At 34.8% G+C, this 27,876-nt stretch overlaps 1 protein-coding gene across 4 annotated transcripts in view; it reads left to right on the top strand.

Annotated features, from left to right (window-relative positions):
• DCUN1D5 (defective in cullin neddylation 1 domain containing 5) overlaps positions 1 to 26,850 on the top strand; it is a 41,475-nt gene extending 14,625 nt beyond the window's left edge. For all 4 annotated transcript variants that reach the window (NM_001318740.2, NM_032299.4, NM_001318741.2 and 1 more), the window contains 4 exons: positions 10,969 to 11,077; positions 11,163 to 11,267; positions 13,159 to 13,261; positions 15,122 to 26,850. In NM_001318740.2, the coding sequence (NP_001305669.1) occupies positions 10,969 to 11,077; positions 11,163 to 11,267; positions 13,159 to 13,261; positions 15,122 to 15,177 (373 nt within the window). In that variant the 3' untranslated portion in view covers positions 15,178 to 26,850. The remainder of the gene's footprint in view (positions 1 to 10,968; positions 11,078 to 11,162; positions 11,268 to 13,158; positions 13,262 to 15,121) is intronic.
• The last annotated feature ends 1,026 nt before the right edge of the window (positions 26,851 to 27,876 follow it).

Raw genomic sequence — 27,876 nt, 5'->3', positions numbered from 1 at the left:
ACTACAGTGGCCTTGGAGAATGGTGTATTGTATTGTGCCAGTGTTCCCTCAAATCTGTGTGGTTTTATTTGGTTGTTATTTGGAAAACTATCTCTTGCTTTCCATAGTACGCTAGTTAAGTATGCATTTCTTTTTATTTCGGAGGAAATATTCTTTTTTCTAAACTTCCCAATTTCTGAGGTATTGATGTTAGTATTTTGGAGCTAGATTCGATATAAAAATTGTATTGCTGTTAGTAACTGCTTCGGTATGTTGGTTTTGCCAGATGTGTTCACAGTCTTCATGATACTGTTAATAAATATGGAGGTTTGTGCTCTTATTCTTTTTTTTTTATTTGAGACGGCGTCTTGCTCAGTCTCCCAGGCTGGAGTGCAGTGGCGCGATCTCGGCTCACTGCAAGCTCCGCCTCCCGGGTTCACGCCATTCCCCTGCTTCAGACTCCTGAGTAGCTGGGACTACAGGCACCCGCCACCACACCCAGCTAATTTTTTTTGTATTTTTAGTAGAGACGGGGTTTCACCATGTTAGCCGGGATGGTCTTGATCTCCTGACCTCGTGATCCACCCGCCTCGACCTTCCAAAGTACTGGGATTACAGGCGTGAGCCACCGTGCTGGCCTATTCTTTTTTTACTACAAAAAAGTCTGTTGGATTCTTTCTCTGCTCAAGATTTACAGTAGACCATTAGGAATGGTATGACGTAGTTTCTACCAAGGTGTGTAGTGTAGGTGATTTTTAATCCATTTGCCTCAAAAGAAGCATATCAAGGACTGTGCTAAGCATTTAACACATGGATTCTCATTTAATCTTTATGGTTGTCCTATGAAATTATTATTGTTACCATTTTAAAAATCAGATAACTGAGGCTGAAAAAGGTTAAGTAACTTGCCATATAGTTGTCCTATTAAATTATTATCGTCGTTTTAAAAATGAGGAAACAGGCTGAAAACGGTTTAGTAACTTGCTGAAAGCCACATGACCAGAAATAGAGAAGCTAGAATTTTAACCAATCTGTTTGACTTGAAAATTTGTTCTTCCCTTCACTTTATTTCTTAAGCTTATTGAAATTACATAAGTAAGATAGTAACTTTGTGTACCCATGAAATGTAAAATATTTGGAAAATATTATAATATCTTGGATTCTTATCTCCTTAGTGACTTCTCAGTCACTATGTGCTTTGTGATTTTGTTTGATCTACCATTTACCACTAAGTTTCTCCCAGATAGGAATTTTGAAACATTATATAATTAAATAAATATATCACCTACCCTGTGGTTTATTTTTGGTGGTCACACTTTTATTTAACAAATATTTTTGGAGTGCTATATGTCAGGTCCTGTGTTATGCTATGACAGTGATTTTTTAAATCTGATGGTAAGGAAAGAAAGAACTTTGAATGTCAGGAGGCATCCTTTATCTTCTTTGCCCCCTTAACACTTAAGTCTCAAGCCTGTTAAGATTCTGTGTGAGATTTTGTATGAAAGATGTGACTCACATTATGAAGACTTCATCTCCATATTTTCAAACATTATAGTGGCATGTAATCTGAGAAATTTGCTTTGCATATCCCCATGGTAGAAGTCAACTTTCATTAAAGCATTATTTTTCACATAATGAATAATTTTTGCACTAACAGAAACCACTTAGTGAAATAGTAGGTAATGAATTTCTAATAAGTAAGAATAAATTTTTCTTGTTTCCTCATCAAGCATATTGTGCATTCATTCATATATAAGGAATTCTGGTTAACTTATCCAAATTTTGATTTCCATTTCTGGCAATATGGCTACTAAATGTGTGGAGAAACCATTTCTCATGTAAAACGCTTAAATGCTGGATAACATATAAAAACATCTTGGCCAGGCCCGGTGGCTCACGCCTGTAATCCCAGCACTTTGGGGTTTGAGGCGGGCAGATCATGAGGTCAAGAGTTTGAGACTAGCCTTGCTGACTTGGTGAAACCCCGTCTCTACTAAAAATACAAAAATTAGCTGGGCATGGTGGCATGCGCCTATAGTCCCAGCTACTCGGGAGGGTGAGGCAGAAGAATCACTTGAACCCCGGAGGCGTAGGTTGCAGTGAGCTGAGATTGCACCTCTGCACTCCAGCCTGGGCGACAGAGTGAGACTCCATCTCAAAAAAAAAAAACTTTTTAAAAGTACACTTGGACTTGCCTGTAAGGAAAATAATCAGAGGCCAGAAATGATGAGTGATGGTGATTACATAGAGATCTATGGAGCTGACATTTACCCTGAAGAAACCTACCTATTCCTAGTCACCTAGGGTCTGGTTGTTGACATGTCATGCATGTTGAGAACAGAGGACACATTTCAAGCAAGACCTTAATAGGATGGGAATCAGATTAAAAACATTGATGACAAACTTATGCAATAAGTGGAAATTTGATAACCTGGGCCTGGTTTTACACACAATTAGAGGTAAAGGGCTTCTACCTGAGAGAATTCCTCGTCCTCCATCTTCTGTCTTGCAGATTTGGGGCTGGAATTCACTATCTGACCCAAGCCAAAAATGTGTTTTAGAATAAGACTCCCCTGTTTGTAATGGAAGCAGTTCTTCCATAGAGAAATTTTACACAAACCTCAATTTTTGCAGAAAAAGGTTCCGTGATCACTAGTTTATAATCAGAAATCACTAAACATTGAGAAATCAATCTTAAAAAATGAACTTGAGAATCAGACCCTTTAAGATTAATTTATGAATTATCACAATTTCCGCATAAGACAACTCTGTGGTTACAGAAAAGAGAATGGTCTCAGATATCAGACTCCGAATAATTAAATTTCTGAAAGTGAAAAACAGCAGATTAAAAACTCCTGGGCATGGTGGCTCACGCCTGTAATCCCAGCACTTTGGGAGGCTGAGATGGGCCAATCACGAGGTCAGGAGATTGAGACCATCCTGGCCAACATGGTGAAACCCTGTCTCTACTAAAAATACAAAAATTAGCTGGATGTGGTGGTGCACGCCCATAGTCCCAGCTACTAGGGAGGCTAAGGCAGGAGAATCGCTTGAACCGGGGAGGTGGAGGTTGTGACCTGAGATTGCACCACTGCACTCCAGCCTGGGGACAGAGCGAGACTCAATCTCAAAACAAACAAACAAACAAACACTCAGCAGATGAGATAGAAAGAAGATAATGTAGTTGACTTGTAAGGATCAGTGATCTACGATATCTAAGGAGATTAGTGCAGAGAGGCAGAAGGGGAATGTGAAAGAGATGCTAACGAACATGGAAGATAAATTTTTTTACTGTTGAATTTTCAGAGTTTGCTGATACTAGTCTTTTGTTGAATGTGTGTTTTGCAAACATTTTCTTACATTCTATAACTTCTTTCATTCCTGTAACAAGGTCTTTTGCAGAGCAAAAGTTTTTGATGATGTCCAGTTTATTAGTTTTTCCTTTTATGGAGTGTACTTTTTTTTGAGAATCTCACTCTGTTGCACTCCAGTGAGTTGTCTCACTCACAGTTTGCACTGCAACCTGTGCTGCGATCTTGGCTGACTTCAACCTTCACCTCCTGGGTTCAAGCGATCCTCCCACATCAGCCCCCCGAGTAGCCACACATGCATGTGCCACCATACCTGGCTAATTTTTCTATTTTTTAGTAGTGACAGGATTTCACCATGTTGGCCAGGCTGGTCTCAAAATCCTGACCTCAAGTGATCTGCCCGCCTGAGCCTCCAAAAATGTTGGGATTACAGACATGAGCCCCCGCCTCAGTTTTGATGTACTTTTGATTGTACTTTTGATGTCAAGTCTAAGAATTATTTGCCTAGCCTTATATCATGAGAATTTTCTCATGTATTTTTCTAGAAGCCTTCCATTATTAAATTTTACATGTAAGTCAGTGGTGCATTTTGAATTAATTTCTGTAAAAGCTATGTAAATGTTGGACATATTTGTGTACATTTATTTCTGGGTTCTCTGTTCCACTGATGTGTCTTAACCTTCTGCCAGTACCACACAGTCTGGATTACTGTGGCTAAATACTAAGACTTGAAATCAGGTAGACTTATGCATCCTGTTTCAAAATTGTTTTAGGTATTCTAGTGTATTTGCTTTTCCATATAAATTTTAGAATAGTCTTTTCTTTACAAAAATATCTTGCTGAGATTTTGGTTAAATAGCATATAAATTTGGGGAGAATTGACATTTTTACTGTTTTGAGTCTTTGAATACTCTTAATATTCCTGATATTGGTAATTTTTGTCTTCTCTCTTTTTTTGTCAGTCTTGCTTTGAATACTGGAAGATAGTAATGTCTCTTCATTTTTTTAGGTATTTGATTTTTTTCATCAGTTTTGTGTAGTTTTCGGCATATACGTCCTGTACATCTTTTGTTAGAATTACACCTAAGTATTTTATTTTTACTTCAACCTGTTGTAAATGGTATTTTACATTTTAGTGTCCACATGTTCATTACTAATATATAGAAATACAATTGATTTTTATATGTTTATCTTGTATCCTGTGACCTTGCTGAACTCACCTGTTCGTTCTAAGATGTTTTCTGTATAGACCTTGGATTTTCTACATAGTCATGTCATCTAGAAATAGGGACAGTTTATTTCTCTTTTCTGATCTATATATCTTTTATTTCTTTTATTATTATACTTCAAGTTCTAGGGTACATGTGCACAACGTGCAGGTTTGTTACATATGTATACATGTGCCATGTTGGTGCTGCACCCGTTAGCTCGTCGTTTATGTTAGGTATATCTCCTAATGCTATCCCTCCCCCCTCCCCCCACCCCCCGACAGGCCCCGGTGTGTGATGTTCCCCACCCTGTGTCCAAGTGTTCTCATTGTTCAGTTCCCACCTATGAGTGAGAACATGCAGTGTTTGGTTTTCTGTCCTGTGATAGTTTGCTCAGAATGATGGTTTCTAGCTTCATCCCTGTCCCTACAAAGGACATGAACTCATCCTTTTTTATGGCTGGATAGTATTCCATGGTGTGTATGTGCCACATTTTCTTAATCCAGTCTATCATTGATGGACATTTGGGATGGTTCCAAGTCTTTACTATTGTGAATAGTGCCACAGTAAACATACGTGTGCATATGTCTTTATAGCAGCATGATTTATAATCCTTTGGGTATATGCCCAGTAATGGGATGGCTGGGTCAAATGGTATTTCTAGTTCTAGTTCTAGATCTAGATCTAGATCTAGATCTAGTTCTAGATCCTTGAGGAATCACCACACTGTCTTCCACAATGGTTGAACTAGTTTACAGTCCCACCAACAGTGTAAAATCATTCCTATTTCTCCACATCCTCTCCTATTTCTTTTTTTTGACTTATTACATGAGCTAGAACTTCTACCACTATGTCGATAAGAGTGGAAAGAGTAGGCATCTTTTCCTTGTTCCCCATCTTAGAGAGAAAACGTTGGCTTTCACTGTTATGTTACCTGTAAGTTACTTATTTATGCTCTACGAAGTTGAGGACACTCCCCTCTATTTTTTTTTTTCTGAGTTTTATCATGAATGGATGTTAAATTTTTAAAGTGCTTTTTCTGTATTAAATGATAAAATTATGTGGCTTTTTTTTGTATTTGCCTGGTTTTGGTATCAAGTAATACTGGCTTTATTAAATAAATTTTTCTTTTTTTAAATATTTTAAATTTTCTTAATCTTTTATGTTTTGAGAGAGATGTGGAATAAGTCTTTAAAGGTTTGGTATAATTCTGTAGTGAAACCATCTGTTCCTGGAGTTTCTTTTTTGAAAGTTTAAAAATTTTGAGTTCAATTTCGTTAATAATAACAGGTCTACTCAGACTACTGTATATTGTATGTGTTGTGGTAGTTTGTGTTTTTCAAGGAACTTATTGGTCCATTTCATCCAAGTTTTGATGTAGAAAAATTGTTACATATGTAGAATTTTTATATCTATGTAAAAATCTGTGTAAAATCTCTATATAAAATATTTACATAGATATAGATTATATCTATATAAATCAATAGATATAAAATATCTATATATAGATTATAGATCATATAGATATAGAGTATATAAAATTATATATAGATTATACCTGTATAAAAATCTTTATATGTGTAGAAAAATTTGTGTGTGTAGAGAGTTGTTCATTGTGATCCCTTACTATCATACATTGTATATGTTCATTGTGTATCCCTTACTATGCTTTTGATAGCTGTGGGTCTGTAATAATACCCCATTTCATTCCTGATATGGGTAATTTTTGTCTTCTCTCTTTTTTGTCAGTCTTGTTAGAGAATTGTCAATTTTATTGATCTTTTCAATGTGCTTTGTTGCATTGATTTTTCTGTTTTCAATTTCAGCAGTTTCTGCTCTTATTTACTTTGTCCTGTTTGGTTTGTTTATTTTGCCTTTCTTTTTCTGGGTTCTAGAGGTACAAGCTTAGATTGTTGATTAAGGCTTTTTCTTTTTTCTAATGTGTGTATTTAGCACTATAAATTTCCTTCTCAGTACTGCTTTATTTGTATGTCAACATTTTGATATGTTGTATTTTCATTTAGTTTAATGTATTTTCTGTTTTCCCTTGAGACTTAACTCTCCCATAGATTATTTAGGTGTTTGCTGTTTAGTTTCCAAGTGTTTGGAGATTTTGCCATTAACTTTCTGTTATTGATTTCTAGTTTGATTCCATTGTTGTCAGAGAACACATTCTTTTTTATTTCAGTTATTTTTACTCTGTTAAGGGGTTTATGTCTCCGGATTGGTCTGTCTTGTTTTATGTTTTGTGGGCACTTGAAAAGAATGTGTATTCTGTTGTCTTCGAATGGAGTAGTCTACTAAGTTCAGCTAGATCCTGTTGGTTGATGATGTTAAATTCTCTGTGTTCGTTGAATTCTATCTAGTGTTTCTATCAATTGCTGGAAAAGGGGTGGTGAAATATCCAACTATAATTATGAATTTATTTCTCTTTTCAGTGCTACTTCACACATTTAGTTTTTACTTCACACATTTTGCAGCTCTATTGTTTAACGTGTATAGGATTGCTTAGAATTGTTTAGGATTGCTATGTCTTTCTGATGGATTGACCCTTTTATTATAATATGATTATCCTCTCTGTTCTGATCATTTTCTTTGCTCTGAAGTTGCTCTATTTTAATATCATCTAATGTAGAAAGCCACTTCCTGCTTTCTTTTAATATTTCTGTGAGATATTATTTTCCATTGTTTCACTTTCAACCTGCCTATACTATTTGAAGTTAAAGTTTCTTCTAGACAGCATATGTTTGGGTCATGCTTTTTTTAATCCACTCTGTCTTATTGGTGTATTTAGACTACTCACTGTCATGTAATTATGGATATATTAGGGCTTAAGGCTACCTTGTATTTTACAGTTCAAAAATTTCCATTTGGTTCTTTTTTTGTATCTTATATTTCTTTGTCCTTGGACTTTTTTTTTTTTGCTGAGACTTTATATTTTTTCATTTTTCTATTACGTTTTTAATTACTTGTTGAAGCATTTGTGTGATAGCTAATTTAAAATGTGTCAGATAATTCTGAACATCTCTGTCATTTTGGTGGTTGCAAGTATTGATTGTGTTTTTGCATTCCATTTGAGATCTTGGTTTGACAAGTGATTTTTTAAATTGAAACCTGGATATTTTGGGTAGTATATTATGAAACTCTGGATCTCTGGATCGTATTTAAAGCTTCAGTTTTAGCTAGCTTACTCTAATGCTATTCTGGCAAGAGAAATCAGGGCTGCCACCTTATTACTGCCAGGTACAGGTAGAAATTGAATTTTCTACTCTGCATTCATTAACATCTAAGGAAGGATATCCCTTGTGACTGCTGGGCAGGGATGAGAGTTCTGGGTTCCCACTACGCTTTTACTGATGCTTTCTTGTCTGAAAGGGATAGGAGTGCCTTGTTACCACTGGGTGATGGTGAAAGCCCTGACCCTTCACTAGGCCTCCTCTATATCAACCTAGGGCAGAAGAGGATTGGCTGCTTGTTACTACCTGGCAAGAGCAGAAGTTCATGTTACCTGTGTGGTTTCGATTTCCACCAGCATTGTAGGAGTTGAGAGAGAGGCTTTATTATATCCTGGTAAGGGTGGACATTTTAGGTCCCCATTCAGTCTTTGCTGGCATTGGTGGGAGTTGGGCCATAGTTTTTTCAGTGGTTTTTAACTGGAGTAGAGTGTTTGTTTTCTAAGAGTTTTCTGTTTTGTGAGGCTCCTCCTTTCTTTGTCTTTTGGCTAGAGAAAAGGCAGGGTTTTATTGGGGCTTTTTGTCTGCCCCCATTGGTGTTGCTGGTTACTAGCTTCTTCAGCTCCAAGTTTGGAATATATTAGGCAAAAAGAAACCCAGATAACTCACCACCATGTAGTTCCTCAGGTTTCCACCTTTCAGGGTCTTGTGTTTATTTTCTATATAATGTTCAGGGATTTTAGTTGTACCTAGGAGAGAGTGAGTGTGAAAAGTTCATTGGCTGCATCCCACTCAAGTTAGTGCCTCTTTTATCTGCACCACTTTAGAATCAAACTCTTTGAAAGCATTCGTCTATACTTATTTTCTCCAGTTCCACTCTTTTCATTCTCTCTTAAACCTGTGCCAGTAAAATTTCTATCCCTGTCACTCCTTCAAAACAGTTCTTGTCAAGGTGTCATATACAAGTAAATACTGAAAGCAAAAATATGCATGTATTTTTGAACTGTAAGATCTTTTTTTTTTTTTAATTTTTAGGTTTGGGGGTACATGTGAAGCTTTGTTACATAGGTAAAGTAGTGTCAGAGGGGTTGATTGTGCAGATTATTTCATTACCCAGGTATTAAGCCTAGTACTCAACAGTTATCTTTTATGCCCCTCTCTCTTCTCCCACCCTCCACCTTCAAGTAGACCCCAGTGTCTGTTGTTTCCTTCTTTGTGTTCATAAGTTCACATCATTTAGCTCCCACGTATAAGTGAGTACATGTGATATTTGGTTTTCCAGCATTAGCTTGCTAAGGATAATGACCTCTAGCACCATCCATGTTCCCGCAAAATGTATGATCGTGTTCTTTTTTTATGGCTGCTTAGTATTCCATAGTGTACATATACCATGGTGTATATGTATTTTCTTTGTCCAGTCCATCACTGGTGGGCATTTAGGTTGATTCCATGTCTTTGCTATTGTGAATAGTGCTGCAATGAACATTCACCTGCATATCTTTATGGTAGGATGATTTATATTCCTCTGGGTATATATCCAATAATGGGATTGCTGGATCGAATGATAGTTCTACAAACAATACTTATCAAAACTTGTGGTTGCAGCTAAAGTTGTATTAAGAGGGAAATTATAGCCTTAAATACTATATTAAATTAATTAAATTCTGGTAAGATTGGTCAAGAAAAACAACAAAAAAGGGATGAAGATAATGCTAATGCAAATTAGAAAATGTTATAAATTTTAATCATATTTAAATAAACTTATATGTAAAATAATCAGTTATGAGAAAAGTATGGGACCAAAACATTCAAAAAGAAATAGAAAATCTGAATGGCCCTATGGCCATTAAAAATGTTGGTTTATTAGTTAAAAGTTTTCCTTCCCTCAATACTCACCTGAGTTTGGACAGATGCTAATTCCAGGGTTACATAAGCTTTTTCAAAAAACGGGGGGGAAAAGTAGCAATTCTCTTTTCATTTTCTGAGTCTTATGTACTACAATCTTGTTAAAAAAACTAGCAAGGAGAGTAAGAATGAAACTTAAAAGCTAGTCTCACTTAGGAACCTAGCAAAACAACCCCAAAATCCAGCAATGTATAAAACAGATAACATGACCAAATTTGACTTATTCTAGAAATGCAAGGTTTAATTAATATTAGAAAATTGTCCAAAATATTTACACATTAATGAAATTATGTTACTACACATTATAGGCCTTTGCATTATTGATTTAGTATAGTCTTAGTTAAATCTGAGAATGCCAGGTGGCTGGAGAGCATGTTGAATAACTAAAATTCAGTTTTGAGTGGAATACTGTGGACCACAGTAGATGGCACAATTAATTTGATTAAAGGGAGTCAGATGGTCTCTCAGAGGTGGCAAAATGTGAGTTAGGTCTTGATGAATAATATTTTTATCAGCATGTTTGAGATTTCAAGTGGAAATAATGGGTGCTGAAGTATGGCAGTGGCATTTGGGAATGGTAAGTGATATAATTAGAGCATGGTAAGGTTATCAGGAAGTGGCAGGAGATGAAACTAGAGATTTGTGCCAAATTGTGAAAGGCCTTGACTGCCTTGCTTCTTGCTAAACAGTGGAATTTATCAACCCACTGAGACAAAGTCAGTTAAGATTTTTGAGCCTTCCATATATTTAGCTGCTTATATTTAATGTCTTGTCTTTAAAAATAACACGTATGACTTGTTGTTTGCATGCTTTTGCATATATAACTTATTTGAAGTTAGGTGCTTCTACTGATTGACTTTGACTTTTTGTTCACAAAAATATAGGGATCTTGATTTATGACTGGACCACTTAATGTATTAATTTGCACTGTGTTATATCCTAAACTTTTAAAACTACTCATGACTAATGTCTTTCACCAAACTGTTACCTACGAACTTTCTAAAGAAATGTGTGACAAAGGCGTGATTAGTTTCATTTGCTCTGCCATTTTTAGCTGTATATGTGATAAAACATGTTTTAATACATCTCTTTTTAACTTCGATTTTATTTGGAATTTTTGAATGAGCTGTTTGTTTGTTTTTAAGCAAAGTAATTGGAGTGAACTTTCTTTGATTCCCAGGTTTTCTTTTTTCCCCTTTTTTCTTTTTTTATTGCATTGGTAGATGCAGGGCAAGAAATTTATTACTCTAAATTTGTGACTCAGAATTTTAAAACTAAATTAACTTCATAAATGCGCTCACTTTTTTCTTAATGCATTACGTCTAACCCCCAGTGATACTTTTATTTGATTTTCTTGATTATGTAATTTGTTTGATATTTCTTTTATTTAAGGTGTGACTGCACAGAAAAGTTACAAAACAAATTTGACTTTTTGCGCTCACAGTTGAATGATATTTCGTCATTTAAGAATATCTACAGATATGCCTTTGATTTTGCAAGGGTAGGTGCAATTTTCTTGTTTTGTTGTTTTAATAGCTTTTCATCTTGAGACCACACTTAGGAAAACTTTTTCACTTATATTTTAGGATAAAGATCAGAGAAGCCTTGATATTGATACTGCTAAATCTATGTTAGCTCTTCTGCTTGGGAGGACATGGCCACTGTTTTCAGTATTTTACCAGTACCTGGAGGTACGTATGTTTTTTCGAATTTTGAAAATATTATTTTAAAACTTAATCTGAAAGTTATACTTTTGAGGAACAAGTAGATTTTTAATAGTATGCTTTAAAAAAACTTTAGAGAAAAAATTCTAAAATATGTACATATCAGTTGCTATTTTTAGATAGAAGTTCATGTTTATTAATATATTTTGTACCTAAGATATTTTCAATCCTACCCCCCCAGTCCCCCAAATAAAAGAAACCTCCAAGAAATACATTGTATCACAGACATTTGTCTTGCAGAATTAGTTTCTCGGGGTTTTCATAAGAGAGTTAATGCTAGTACACAAACCTTTAAGCTTCTAAATCTGATTTTCTTCTTTTGTTACACAGGGTCTTAAGCTGAAATGTACATAAGAGAACCAATTTAGTAATAAAACTTTCCTTTTCTACTTAGGCTCAATCTAAAGAAACAGAATAAAGCTATTAATATTTTATGGCCACAAATATGAGAATGGCTATAATAGTATACTTAAATATGCTGGTTACTAAAAAAATGTAAGCTGAAATGATGACGTGTTCTTTTAGAAGGTTTATCATAGCAACTACTATAGGCAGTGATTCTAAGAAGATGCTATTCTTTTTTTCCATTGCTTTGTCTAGTTTTTTTTTTTTAAATCTGTTTTTGTGCCTTTGTAATTCTAGGGTTATTGGTATAGTTCTCACCATATCTTGAATACAGATGCTTTTTCCTTTGGAAATAATTTCTCATAAAGCACATTGCTTATAGCTGCTTCCCTTTTCCCAGAGTAGTAAAAGTTGTGATACAAGACAGTGATATCAGCTGGGCGTGGTGGCACACGCCTGTAATCCCAGCACGTTGGGAGGCCAAGGCAGGCAGATCACTTGAGGCCAGGAGTTCGAGACCAGCCTGGCCAACATGGTGAATCCCCGTCTCTACTAAAAATACACACAAAAAATTAGCTGGGTGTGGTGGTTTGTGCCTGTAGTCCCAGCTACTCGGGAGGCTGAGGCACGAGAATTGCTTGAACCAGGGAGGTGGAGGTTGCAGTAAGCTGAGATTGCACCACTACACTCCAGCCTGGGTGACAGAACGAGACTCTGTCTCAGAAAAAAAAAAAAAGAGACAATGATATGAAAAGGTCTTACATGAATGAGTTTTACGCATGATTCAATCTGTAAGTCCTATAAATTATTTTTGATGGATGGTATCTATTTTCTTCCTATTAGTAGTTTTGGGCAAAAATAAATTTAACTGAATGTAAAAATATTCAGCTCTATGGGGAGCTGAGAAGAACTAAATATTTTCAGACACTTGTTATGTGCAGGTTGTTTGGCATATATTTTTAAAAATCTTTATAATACCATTTTGAATTAAATTCTATCCCCATTTAACAAATGAGGAGGTGGTTTCTATTCTTAAGTAACTTTCCCAAAATCACTCAATTAAGTGGCAAGGGTGGGATTTAAATCGAAGCCTATACTCTTTCACTTGTTTCCAAAGATGCCAAACTCAAAATGTGGCTAAACAGTAAATCTTGAGCAAAGAAATGATTTACTAGGAAGCAGCACAATAGAACATACTGGATGTAGGAAATGTTATATATCTTGATCTCATTGGTGGTAACACAAGTATATACATATGAAAAAGTTAGTTTTATCCTTACTGTTAGTACTCAGTGCTCTTATTATTCCTCAAAAATGAAAAAAAAAGTAAAAAATAGATTATGTTAATATGTAAATGCCCATGAGGAATCTCTTAGAAACACAAATAATTAAAAAAATAGTAAATGTTTTAGAAAAAACCAAATCACAAAAACAGTTAAAACTTAGTTTACTAAATTGAGTAAATGATGTTTGTTTAAATATTTAAATACAAATATTTAAATCATTTTTGCAGCAATCAAAGTATCGTGTTATGAACAAAGATCAATGGTACAATGTATTAGAATTCAGCAGAACAGTCCATGCTGATCTTAGTAACTATGATGAAGATGGTGCTTGTAAGTATAACATAACATGTTCCTTTGAAAACAAAATTTCCAAAAATATTAAATGAGAGTATGCATTTGTGTAGTATTAGCATAGAGGTTTTAAACTTTGTAATAGTAACTTATTTAATTGTGTGAGGGATTGTGGGAGAAGTAGAGAGAGAGCTTAGATTCAGCAGTATTATATAAAATCTATGCTGGTAAATGAAATGTTTTCAGTTCCTCGGCAACCAAACATTTTAGCTAAATTTAAATTATAATTTTTGCATCCAGAAGCTAAAATTCAGCTTTGTTTCTGTCTTTCCTGGCATTTGCCTATGGAAGAAAAGTACAGTCATGATTTTAAAAATATAACAGCAAAACAATCAGCCACAATAGAAAAAGCTTTAACATTATTGTAATATTATGCTACCCATTAACAATATGGCAAATAATGTCAGTATAACTTCTCTCTGAAAACTATAAATTGATTGTGAGCTAACTGATAGTGAAATAGTTATAATTTTTCAATCCGTCAAGTTAAAATATCTGTCCATACTCCTCCATGGAAAGGCTAGAATGCCATAAAACAGGATTTTGAAATAATGATAAATTAATTAGATAAACCAAGTTAATTCTGTAGAACTATAAATTTTTTTCAGTTCCAACCACCATTTTGGTTGGTTGCATGTGTTTTCAGTGTTCAGAAGGGTTACAAGGAAAGGTACATTCCTATAAACTTAAACTGAAATTATACACTTTTTTCTGTGACACTGAAAAAATAAAATAACAGAAGAAGGGATAACTTTATTTCTTCCCACATATATTTTGTCCTCTCTCTACAAGATGGTATAAAATTTAGTATTATTTTAAAGAAATAATACCTAGCAGCAGTAACCTGGCAGCCCAAAGGCTGTATATGGCCCGTAGATGTGTATATTTATGTATTTTGTATCAGCATTTAAAACTAGGAGATTTTGTATTAAAATACAACATTTAGATTTGTTGGAAAAATTTAAAAAGTCTGACAAAACTGTACCTTTATAGTACTCCTTTATAGGAGTCAGAGGCTGGAGTCAAGTGTTAACTGTGTTGGACTTGCTTTTCAGTTTGACAGTTCATGGTATGCCAACACCTAGGCTGTTTTTCAGTTGCCATTTATTATCATATGTGCTCTGCTGCTTTTCTTACGATAGAGAAACATGTCTGTCAAAAGCAATGGAAAAAGACCACCAGAGGATTATGTGTTTTAAGAAGAATAAAGCAAGCATATTTCTTTGTGGCGGTGATTTTTTTCCTACATTTAAACAAAATAAACACTGAGCTCATTTAAACTGCCTACTTGGCTCTGTCAGCAAATGAGTTTGGACCTCCCCTACGTTATAAAAATATATGTTTTAGAATAGTACTTAGCTCATTAATTAGATATTCATTAGGCACTTGCTTTGTGTTCAGCTTTGTACTACATCCTGTTATTGGAATAAAGTAAGTCTCTATTATGGCTGATCCCTCTCAACAAGCTTGTACACTTCTTGGGGAGGCAACATAGAAATATTACCTTCAACACTTTTCAGATTGTTTCATAATTAAATGCCAGAATGCTATGGACACTTAGAAAAAGGGAGAGATTTGTATTGACTCAGTTACTGGAGGGTTCATGAAACACCTTGAGAAGGAAGTTGCTATAGATACCATTGTTCCTTGTGTCTTTAAGGGCAAAAAAGAAAAGGCTAATAAGAAAGCACCATTAAATGGAATAAGGTGTCTAGAAGCAGAACACCCAAAGAAAGGAAGGGTCATTCCTCTGTCATTGCAGAGCTCGTGGGGAGTTTGTTTTATAATTGGAGAGATGAGTTCACTGAATTCTGACAAAAATGGTTTCTTTTTTTCTAGGGCCTGTTCTTCTTGATGAATTTGTTGAGTGGCAAAAAGTCCGTCAGACATCATAGCAAGAACTATGTGAAGAAAATGCAAACCTTTCAATTCCCACGTGTATACAAGCTAATGTGATGAGGGGGAAAAAAATCCAACGGGTGCATTTTCATTCATATGAAAGACTTCTCATAGTACTTTTTTTTCCTTTTTTTAAAGGAGGTTTTTCTTGTTACATGTGATGGGCATTGAGCCACACCTCTTCTTAGACTGAATATTGAAGTTTTTGTTTTGAGTTATGTTTATAACATTTATTTCAGAACAATAAAGATTCAGATTTGTGACAAAGGCCTTAAAGTGAAGATGTCCCTTGAGTGTCAGAGTGGTATTTATTTTTGTAAATTTGAATTTTTTGATTTTTGAGGTTCCAATTCACCGTGAATTTACAGAATTTTCAAGATTTTAAACAGTCTTAATATTTGGCAACATAGTCTGCTGATGGTATGGCTCATTATAGTCATCTCTGCACAATTTGGAAGACTGTTGGCCTTGACTTCTGGGATAATGATTTGCTGATGCAGCTAATAAACATTTCTAGGTATTGGAAAAATGCTCCTACTTTTAGCTCTGGGTTTCTATAAAAGCTGCCAAGGTCTTATGCAGATGTCTTATCTCAGAGAGCTTAGAATTGGAAAGATTATGTCCAGTTGTTTTGTTTTCTAAAAAAGTTGTATTATTAAGTTGTATCATCATTATTATTGTTGATAATAGCATATTTATATTTTTAACTGTCATTATATAGGGAATTTTGTTTAAAGCACTTTTTTTTTTTTTTTTTGCCTTAAGAGAACGTTAGCTGTGATATGGATTTAATTAAGATACACATAGGAAAAGAAGACAATAGAATAAGGAATCATGAGAGAACTCTGGGTATAATTAATTGTGCACAACTCAATAGAGCCATTTACGTTGGTAGTATTGCAGCTTGCTAATTATCACAATTTTCTGCCTGTTGGTAATCAAGTGTCTTGAGGAAAGGGAAGGCTTTCCTAATTCATGTAAAAGGCACTTTTGTACTAGCAGCAGGCCTGTTTGTACATTCCTTTTCAAACCATCCAGTATCCCAGTGATATGAAAACTTTGTTCATATTCATAGCCCAGTCACAACTTCAGAAACATTTCTAGTGTCATTGTTTGAGTAGAGAGAAGTAAAGAGGTTATTTTTCCATAATAAGGGAGTGTTTCTATTAGGATTTAAGGTAAAGGTTGATTTTTCAGTGGTGAATTTGTTTAAAGAATGATTTCTCCATATTGATTACCTAAGAGAATGACATTTTAAAGTGTTTTATTGTTTGCTTTTTAGTTAATCAGCTGGGAAAAAAATGATTGCCACTGTTTTACTTGCCTTCTTAATAAGATTACTTTGTACAGTTTTCTGAAACACCCATAATAGTGGGAGACAGTTTTCCTAAATGTCTTATAGAAAAGGATAATACAGAATGCTCCTCTTAAGTATTAGAATCACTGAGTTATGAACTGAGCATACCAGTGGTGTTAGGATTTAATATTATGAATGATGTTTTAATATCAAATTTATTATAAGGAAAGCATTTAGATTTGTAGACCTTTAAATTTATAATTTAGTTGACTCTTCAAGGCACATCTGAACTGAAGAACATATCCACTTTTGTTAAATTCCAAAACATATAAGCAAAATCTTATAAATTGTCCATTTGTAACCTGAACTAATGGTAATATCTTTTTCATCTTCAGTATTTGAGTAAAATAGGGAACACTTAAAGCTTATAGATGACATGTTTTTTAAAAGGTATATTTATGAAAGCACAGGCATCCTTGGTATACGCAGGAGATTGATACCAGGACCCTTGTGTATACCCAAATCTGTGCATACTTAAGTCCTACAGTCATCCCTGTGGAACCTGCCTGTATAAAAAGTCAGCCCTCCCCGTGTATGTAGGTGTCGCATCCCGGGAATACTGTATTTTCAATCCATGTTTGGTTTAAAAAAATCTGCGTATAAGCAGACCCACACAGTTCAAACTCATGCTGTTCAAGGGTCAACAGTATTTACTTTGCATACTTATCCAAAGATACCTTTAAGACTTTTTGAGTCTGAAAATGAAATTTACTTTATTTTTTCCCTTAAAGTCAACTGTCCTATCCTACCCTAGCCATACTTTGGAGTCCAGTACCACTGAGGCCACGCTTGCTTTACTCTATTGCTCCATCTATTTCTCTTACCTTCTTAAAGTTATAACATTTGCCTACTTTGAAGGCAAATTTACTCTGCCTAATTCATCAGTCAGGGTGTGGGCTGTGTCCCTTCCTGTCTTTCCTTTGTTAATTTTGAATAGCATTTAATTTACTGGGAAATTTATGATCAAAAATGTTAAGTGATATAAACAATACAATATTAAGGACCCTGCAGTATAAAAAAGTCTAACTGTTGTGGTTCCTTTTTTGACTAGTTAGCTTTAAGTGCCTTCCCACGAACCCTGTTGTAAAATTTTCAGAACTACTTCCCTTTGTACAGGATGAAATACCGTATGGTGCTTTATAACATGGAGTTGAGTTGTTTCTATAAGAATATTATACAAATGTAATACTACTGGGAGAAAGTAGAGCCAGATGTTGATTGGACAGATTGCAACCCCCCCACCCCCCCACTCCTCGGGGCCAATAATTCTTAATAAGGTATGATGTTAATACCTCTAGGAAATTGCCAGGGATTCAGGTGACAGTGTGTGATGAAAACGGTGTATTGTGTGCTGGCCTGACTGCATTACCATGTTTGTCTTCTATTGTCTAATGATTTCTTATTTCTTAAATGCTGCTGATAAAATTATTGATATAATACATTTTTGACAGTAGTAGCATTTTTGTGTATAATGTATAGATTTTATTGGTTTTTACTCAGAAGCACTCTAGATTAGTGTTTCTTGAACTGCAATTTGAAGCCTTCTTTGGGAATGTTAGATTGAGGAGTATTTCTCTTAAATACAAATGCCTTTTCATCTAGCAAACCAAAAATTATATCTTAATATTGAATGCCATCACTCGGGGTCGGGGTGGGAGTAAATTCTGAGATAACTCCAGAGTTTTCAAGGCATACAAGGTATGTGGAATAGCACAGATTCAGAATACATGATACATACGTATAAAATGAAACATTTCACTTTGAAGTATTTCTTCAACAAAACATGTCCTGTCTGCCTACTTGCTAATGTGAAATTATGAAAGGATTTATTGAAATATATGTTCAGTTTGAGGTGTAATTGGTAAGAATGCCAGGTGTTGTTCTTCTGCCCTCTTAAAGAAGTGTACTTAAAACTATTGTGATAATTCATCTCTGATAAAACTTTGTTCTGGCCTTCAAGGCTCTTACAGCTTAATGTTTTAAATGTCTAAGGCATCAAATAAATTGAGGGCATTTTAATAAAAAAAAAAAAGGAAAACTAAATGCCTTTCTTTGTTAAAGCAAAAGGCCAAAAATAAAAAATAAAATTAAAACCCCCCCCAAAAAAACCCAAAAGTCTTACTCCTAAAGAAGAATTCTTACCTCTAAGGAGGAATCCTTCCCTCTTGAGGAAATACCACTTTTTGAGTGACATTAGAAATCATCACAAGGAAACATTTCAAAGAAAGGATCATTTTTTTTTCAGGAGAAAGAGGAATAACAATTTCATTAACTTCCTCAATAGGAAAGGCTAGTCTGAATTATTAAATATTCTGGATTATATCTTTTTTTAATGATATAGTTTTATTACTTCAGGAATATTTGGTAAGAACCAGGTAAACCTATTGTTTAAGATTTGTTCTTTTTTGTTAATAGACCTATGATTAGTATGGTGGAAGCCCAAAAAGCAGTCTAATTTTTATGATAAACTTACAGACTGTGGAAAGATGAATTTCTGCCCCAAACCTTGGATAAGTTGTCATTAATTTAATTGTAGAGATTTTTCTAGTGAACTTGTACTTCACTGGAACAAATCTTTAGATCTTTTAAAGCACAATTTATTTATGTTTTTAAAAACAGTCTTAAAACTGATCGATCATACATTTGCTGTGTCCACCTTACAATCTTTTACATTCTATTAGTACAGATAGTGTTTCCTTTGCTCCTTTTCCTGACCAGTTGTTATTGGTGTGACCATTTTCTTTTTAGGATCGATGAAACATTTTGCTGTGTATGCTGTGTCATGTATTAGAACCTCTTATAATATGGCTCATTTTTACATGGTTTCTGATTTACCATGTGTTAAATATTCCTTAAAATACATCTAGTAACACTATATAGTAAGGTTAGATTTTAACCTAAGTATTGAATCTTGTCTTATAATGCCAATTTTATTGGAGCTTTGTTGCATTTATTTTTGGCTCTATGGTCCATAAATGGGAGTTAATAGCAAACGTTTTATTAAAAATGTCTTAGCTTTCCCCCAAATTATATCATTTTTTAGAAGTTTTATCCTTCTGGGGTGTTTTTGGCTTTCTGAGCTTTAAGATATTAATGAATTTTTTCCACATACTTCATGGGTTTGGTTTTAAGTATGAGGTTAAAATTGTGGATTTTAAAAAGCTAATAAATACTTGAAGTGAATATATAGAGAGAGCCAGATTTCCCCAAAACTCTGTGAGCTGTGTGTGTTTTGTGTAGAATATTAGCCATAATTAACTTTTCCCTTTTTTTTTTTGGAGACAGGGTCTTACTCTGTCACCCAGGATGGAGTGCAGTGGTGCGGTCTCAGCTCACTGCAGCCTCGACCTCCTGGGTTCAAGAGATTCTCGTGCGTCAACCTCCCAAGTAGCTGGGATTACAGATGCCTGCCACCATGCCCAGCTAAGTTTTGTATTTTTTTTTTTGTTTGTTTTAGTAAAGATGGGATTTCACCATGTTGGCCAGGCTGGTCTCAAACTCCTGCCCTCAAGTGATCCCACCCACCTCAGACTCCCAAAGTGCTGGGATTACAGGTGTGAGCCACCACTCCTGGGAAATAATTAACTTTTTCACATAGAAAATAGATCACAGATAAAAGCTCCTCACATATTTTGAAGGTCAAAAAAAAATTTGCTGTTGCTAACAATTGCCTTTGAACCATGAAAGAGGAAAAACTAACTTTATTTGAGCAACTTGTCATTTGAGACTTAAACTAACTTATCAAACTTAGCAGAATTAACTTGTGAGTATTGACTTAAGTGAAGTTAGTTTATATACTTTACTATTCTGTCATGCAAATAAAATGGCTTAGAGCAAGTTCATACACAGTTACTTTTATCTACAAATGTAGAAATCTTACCTATTTGAAATTTACATTATTCCCTGAAACTATGCCTATTGAGAGAGAGTTTATAGAAGTATTATCTGAGAAACCTGAGTTTGATTTTCTTTTTGTGACATTCCTGTTAATGTCACTTTTAAACAAGCCACTTAACCTATGTCATTTTCAGTTTCTTCTGTAAAATGGCGATAATGATACCTACCAGTATTGTTACGAAGTTCAAATAGGCCCTATCCACAGCACTTAGTAGGTGTTAAATGAATGCGTCTTGTTACTTGAACAAGAAGTGGTTAGTTATGATAGTTTATTTTTTTCTGACAAATTTACTGTCTTTTATAAAAAGAAATAGCTAGGATTTCCTGTGTTATCCTGCCATTTTTATAATCAAACAAAATTATTAATATTCTCCTTAGACTAAATCATTAATTTAACAAATCTCAAGCATCTACTATATGCCAAGAAGTATTCTAGGCCTGAATATATTGCAGGGCACGAAGCAAGACAGTAATTTCGAACCTTTATGGGATTTTTATTTTAATTGGTTAGTAAAATAGTTTATCATTTGGTGACAAGGTTATATGGGGAAAGTAAGTTGAGGAAGGGGCCCAGAGAGTGTGTGAGGATAGGATTACTATTAAGTAGCATGTACACTGATATGTGACATTGAGCAGAGGCCTGAGGAGGTGAATGGTTGTGCAGTGTGGATATCTGGGAGGAGAGCATTCCAGGCAGAAGGAATATTACATGCTAAGGCCCTGAGCTGGTACAGAGTGTAAAGAAACAGTAAAGAGATCAGTGTGACTGTAGTGAACAATAATAGCATTTTAGGGAGAATTAGAAAATGAACTGAGAGAGATTGGGAGTAATAATCCTGCCTGATTGTAGGTAATTACGTAGGGCATTATAGCCCTTTCTCAAGAGTAGGACTTTACTGAGTGAGCTAGCAAGCAATTAGGATTCAGATCAAAGCAAGGATGGAAGCAGGTAGTAGTAGGAAGATAATATGGTAAATCCAGGTGACAAATGGTACAATTTGAGATTAAGAGTAATGGAAATAATAAGTGGTCAGATTCTGAATGTATTTTGGTGGTAGCACCAAAAGGATATGCTGATAGAATGGATGTGAGGTATGAAAAAAAGAATGATCAAGGTTTTTGGCTTGAAGAATGAAGTGGGCATTAATAAGATGGCGAAGACTCAGAGGAGCAGGCTTAAGCGGGTAGATTGAGAGTTTACTTTTGGATATGTTATGGTAGACTTGTCTGTCAGACGTCCAAAGGAAAATGTAGAGTGGGCAGTTGGATATTTGAACCTGGAAAAGTAGAGGTCTGGGCTGGAGATAAATATATTTGGAAGTCATCAGTGTGTAATCTTATTTTAAGTCAGGACATGGATGAAACCACTTAGAGAGTAAGTGTAGCCAGAGGATAGAACTTAATTGAAGACATATGATCGATGAAATTCAAGGCCAACTTTTGTGATTTTTCAAATAGAAATAAAATGTTAACATTTTCTACCACACATATACAAACCATTACTTTCTATAGTGTTGTAGAAGCACTAAGATTTAAAAAGCAAGATTGATAATAGTTGCCAAATATGTAAACAAATGGCAAATTAAATTGAGGAGGGAGTGTCACTTTATTCTTGGAATAAAGTTTTTGTTTTGAAGTAATACAGTTTTTTATATTAAGAATAACAACATCTGGAGTGCTAGTTTCTTTTTCTCATTGTTGGAAATTGCTATTCCAATTCAATTTGACAGTTTTAGCACTAGAGGGCAGGCTTGCTTCTAGATTGTGAAGAGTTCTACATGAATTAATATAGCCAAACAGCGCAGGTTGAACATCCTTAACTTGAAAATCTGAAATTCAAAATGCTTCAAAATCCAAAACTTTTTGAGTGTTGACATGATGCCACAAGTGGAAAATTCCACACCTGACCTCATATGATGGGTCACAGTCAAAATGCAGGTGTACAACAGTTTACTCTGTTCCCAAGAGAAAAATAAAATTAGCTGCAGGCTATGTGTAAAAAGTGTATATGAAACATAAATGAATTTCATGTTTAGACTTGGGTCCCATCCCCAAGGTATCTTATTATGAATATGCAAATATTCAAAGATCAAAAAAAAGAAATCTAAAACACTTCCGGTCCCAAGCATTTTGGATAAGAGATATTCAACCTGCACCTACATTCAATCTCAATTAATGAATGCAGTTGTTTCTTATGTGACAGGTTTGCCATCTACTATGTTTTTTTCTAGTGCTAGGAAAGCATAAAATAAGGCTAATTGATTTTAGTACATCTAGGACTGGCAGTTGACGCTAATATACATTTGAATATAAATGTATATTTATATTCCAAGGAGTTTCCAAGGAAACTCAAGTGTAGCTTAATTATACTCAGATTTGATATAGAGGGTCTTCCACCACATATATGAATATTAAAGCCAGTCAGAAGAAATCCTGGACATGAAAACATTTTTTCAGGAAATAATTAACTATGTGCTGGGTATTATTATATGAGCGTGGCTACAAAGATGAATAAAATATAGTCCCTGCCTAAATAAGCTTTGTTGTAGCATCTTACAGCACTTAATATCTTGTGCTGTATCTATTTAAATGTCTTTTTCCCTTCAATAATAGAAATCCTGACTCACTTATTTTTGGTGCCTCCAAGTGCCCATCACACAATTCAGTTTACAGTGTTTGAACATGTGAATAATGAGAGAGAGAAAAATAAGAAAACGGTCAGGGAATTGGGGCCTTTGAAAAAACTTATTTTCACATTTTTACCCTTAGAGAGATGCTTTTCCTATTAACACGTCTAAAGATTATGGAGACAATTCTAACCTTCTATCTTTGCTCCCACTACTTCTTCAAGCAGACTTTAACCCCATTCCTCAAGAGCAGTTATTGGCAGCCATAGAGAGTGGGAGGTCAAGCCTTTTTTAGTCATTGGAGTAAACAGGAGACATAGATGTGGAAATTGGGAGGTTCTCTCTATCTGGCTTACGTCAGTTTGAGAAGTTTGACATGAAATGGAACCTTCTGGAATGAGGTTCTTTTTCCTGCTTTTCACCTGGAAAGTTTTCCCATACATGGTCCTCTTGCACCCCTAGTCCTTTTAGGGTACCTATTTCTGTGTGCTAGTTCTTTCATTTCCTTGTCTGTAACATGAGGATAATAATAGTCCTTATCTAATAGCATTATTTTGAGGATGAAATGAAATACAGGCAGTAAATATTAGTTACTCTTTGCTATCTGGAAAAACATCAATTGAACCTCATAGGATGGACTTGTGTTCAATAAGTGTTATATATAGTAGAGTCAAATGGAAAAATTGAACCACTCAGATACATTTTTTTCATTGATACATAATAGATGTATTTATTTGGGGGGTACATGTGATAATATGATATATTCATATAATTAAAATTCATTGATACATGATGTATTTATTTGGGGGTACATGTGATAGTATGATATATTCATATAATTAAAATTCATTGATACATAATGTATTTATTTGGGGGGTACATGTGATAGTATGATATATTCATATAATTAAATGAAGATAATTGGGATATCCATCACCTTAAATATTTATGTTTTCTTTACACTAGGAACATTCGAATTCTCTTTAGCTATTTTGAAATGTACAATAGTTTAGTGTTAATAGATCAGTCATCCTACTGATATATCGAACACCAGGTCTTATTTCTTCTGTCTACATAGACATATTTAGAAATGCAAATCTCTTAGGAAATTAATCTGTAATGTCAATGATGCACACTGATTTGTATTACTTGCTTTCTTTGTAGGCAGTATAGTGAAATGGTTCATTAAATGGATGCTAAATATGACTAAATGATCAATTTACAGTGTAGTTGGCACCAAGTAATAAATGCTCAGTAACATAGCTACTATGGCTGTCTTTAAAAGTGGATTGGTTTGACTTCATAGGAAGGACTCTATTTTTAAAAAAGAGAAATATTAAAAAATAAAAAGCCAAAATTCTATGATGTCTTATTACATTGAGTCTCTTAAATCAGTTTTTTTTTAATTAAGTAGCAGGACCCTATTGCAAAATAAGTTTTACCTAGAAGCACAGTATTTAAAACAGAAAGCTAAAATACTCTGGTTAAGTGGGAAGCTCCCTGTCTTCCTCGCTGCTAGTATTATTTCTGAAAAACCTCAAAGGAACTCCTTGCTCTCTGAATAGCAGGTTTTAAAAACCACTACTTGCACATTTGCACCTTGACATCAAACATGTGAACAAAGTAATAGAGTGAGAAAACTGAATTTCTATTTAGGAATTTCTATTTTATTCTCTCTATAAAAAGCCAAGAAGTGGTTGGTGTTTGGAATAACATGAAAAATATTCCAAGTATCTTTGGAAATACTTACACTAGAACTATAAGGTTTATGATAATTCTATCTTAGATTCATTATCTAGAGCTGGTCTAAAAAAGGATGATATGTAAGAACTACCAAGAGAGACTTGGAGTAGATACAAGAATGAAGGAATGAATCAATATCCAATAAATATCCATAGGCCCAGGCTTTGCTATGCCCTCTTATTACACAGGATAAAACAGTGTAGTTGTTAGTTTCTACCTTTGAAGATTATGATCCTTAAAAAGGAAACAGCTCTGTGAACAGAGACCATGTTATTCATAGGTGTTCCTCACTTGTTTCCACCACATAATAGGTATTTAATGAATGAAAAAATTCACGTCTCTCTTTGATCCTAGACTGCAAGTTACTTAAAAGAAATGGACCGTATTTTACTTATCTCTCATGGCCTGCAAATTGAGTTTGCTTACTGAATTAATGAATGAATGACCAATTGTACACATATGTCTGTAAAACGTTTACATATCCACATTCCCATTAGACTGAGATTCTTGAGGGCAGAAACCATGTCTTCAGCTCTCAGCATGGTGCCTGACTCATGGTAGGTTGTCAAAAGCATTTGCAGAACTGAATAAAACTTACGTTTAAGTAGTACTGGAGCAGTCTCACATAACCGGGCACAGTGTCTTCTAAATAGACACTAAAATTATTTCATAATTAAAGACAGATCTCACTAAGCATTTTCTGAGTTAGTGCCAGTTGAATAATATGACAATAAGCTATAGGAGTTCAGAGGAGAGTGAGTTCTGTGGACTGAAATAGTCAAAGTGGATTTTCAGAGCAGATGAGACGCGATGAAGGCTGGGGCTACTTTGGTGTTTTAAGAACATTAATTAGGCAGCAGGAAAATCTGAGGACAGGGAGACTAGTAAGGAAGGCTGGAAAGAGCCCTGGGTTTGGAGTTCAGAGATCTGTGTTCAGAGTCCTTTGCTTCTTAGTGACTATGTGACCTTGAGAAGATAACTTGAGCTCCCTTTTTCCTCTTCTGTGAGGTAGAGGTAAGATTGATGTGCATATTGATATTGTACTTAAAAGTGTTTGTAAAATGCTAAGTAAAACCTAATGCTATGCTTTGAATGTAGTGGGTTCCAAATATTTGTTTAATGACAAAGAATAAATGATATTGACTAATGAAAATAATGGAGCCACTGGAATGTCACCTCCTGCATCTGCCAGTAAACCTGTTAACACAGGGGTGGCGGGGGGGGGGGGGAAGTAAATATGTGAAGCCACCAAATCTCATGATCAGGAGAAAAACTTTGGAACTCCCATGAGACTCCAAAGTTATGTCACAGGTGAATAAGTCATGAACTTTTCATGCTGATATCATTTCTAAGGTTGCTGCCTTGTCAGAAGAAGCAAACCACAAGATAAACCATGCAGAAAATCTTTTTTTAAAAAAGTTTCCTGAAGGATGGATGGTTCATTTGTTCTGCTTGTCACTTTACTTACTAATGAGTCATTTTTTTCCTTAACCAGTAATTTGTTTTAAATTTGGTCATAAGATGGTATGTTGACTAGTCCAATGTTACAAAATAATTGGAAAAAAGATGACAGACCACCAACTGAATAAGGGAAATCTGGTTCTTGAACTTCCAATGTATGAATTGGTGATGGTAAGCTTAGTCTTTATGATGTAAGATTGGATTTATTGGAACTTCTTTATGTCCAGAAGTTGCAGCACCTTTCTTTGTCTCTGGAATGCCCAAGATCTCTACTGCATCCTGTAGACATGGAGGGTTTCCCCCCTTATTCTGGGTCTGATTATTTTTAAAGAAACACCCTTTCCTTACCCATCATGGAGACACTACTAACCTTGTATATACTTTTATTAGAGTGCTGATAACACCATATTACAGTAGCATACTTACATATCTGTTTTCTTAACTGTGAGCTCCTTGAGAGCAGGGACTGTGTGTTTTTGCTTTTATTTCACCAGTACTCAGAACTATCCACAGTATAGAAAAGCACTCAATAAATGGAATAAATGAAAATGAATAGATAAATAAATGATTTCACTTGTATAAGATGTCCAGTAATCTTTTGTGTATTTTTCTAATTCACTGTATGGCACACATTCTAGTACAACCCTGTTTATAATGTTGACCTACTATTAAAGGAATTAAACAAATGTAAGCCAAGACAAGAAATGCATATTAAAACAACTATGGTATTTTTGCCTTCCAAATTGGCACAGATTTTAAAAATTGATAATGCCCATGTTTGATGACACAAGGAGACAGGAATTGTTATACTTTGCTGGAGGGAATATACATTGGCATAGCCTTTTCTGGAAGTCATTTAGGGAGATACATCCAAAAGCCTTAGTAAGTTTCATATTTTCTCACCCAACAATTCTATGCCTATCATCTTAAAGAATAAATTTTAAAACTTTCAAAAGATTTTTATCATAACATATTTGATAGAAAAAATGAAATAACCTAAATGTTTAAGCATAGAAAATTTGTTGAATAAATTACAGCATATTTATGCAATAGAGTACTATGCCATCTTGAAAAATCCACACTGTATTTTCAAAGGGAGTAAAAGACTGGCTTTAAAGCAGCATATAGATAGGCACAATAGGATACTTGTTTTAAAAATGTGTATGTATAGGTCTGGCACAGTGGCTCACGCCTGTAAATCCCAGCACTTTAGGAGGCCAAAGTGGGCGGATCACCTGAGGTCGGGAGTTTGAGACCAGCTTGACCAACATGGTGAAACCCTGCCTCTGCTAAAAATACAAAATTAGCCGGGCGTGGTGCCACATGCCTGTAATCCCAGCTACTCGGGAGGCTGAGGCAGGAGAATCGCTTGAACCTGGGAGGCGGAGGTTGCGGTGAGCCGAGATCATGCCATTGCACTCCAGCCTGGGCAACAAGAGCAAAACTCCGTCTCAAAAAAAAAAAAAAAAAAAAAAAAATATGTATATATATATATATATATATAGAGAGAGAGAGAGAGAGAGAGAGAGAGAGAAAAGCCTGAAAGGCTGTGTACCAAAATATGAAAAATGTCAACTTACTGGTAATAGAATTACCAGGGGTTTTTAGTT

This window comes from Homo sapiens, chromosome 11 (assembly GCF_000001405.40).
Source record: "Homo sapiens chromosome 11, GRCh38.p14 Primary Assembly".
Taxonomy (NCBI): domain Eukaryota; kingdom Metazoa; phylum Chordata; class Mammalia; order Primates; family Hominidae; genus Homo; species Homo sapiens.
Note: the sequence above shows the minus strand (reverse complement) of the source record. Positions and strands in the feature narration are given on the sequence as shown.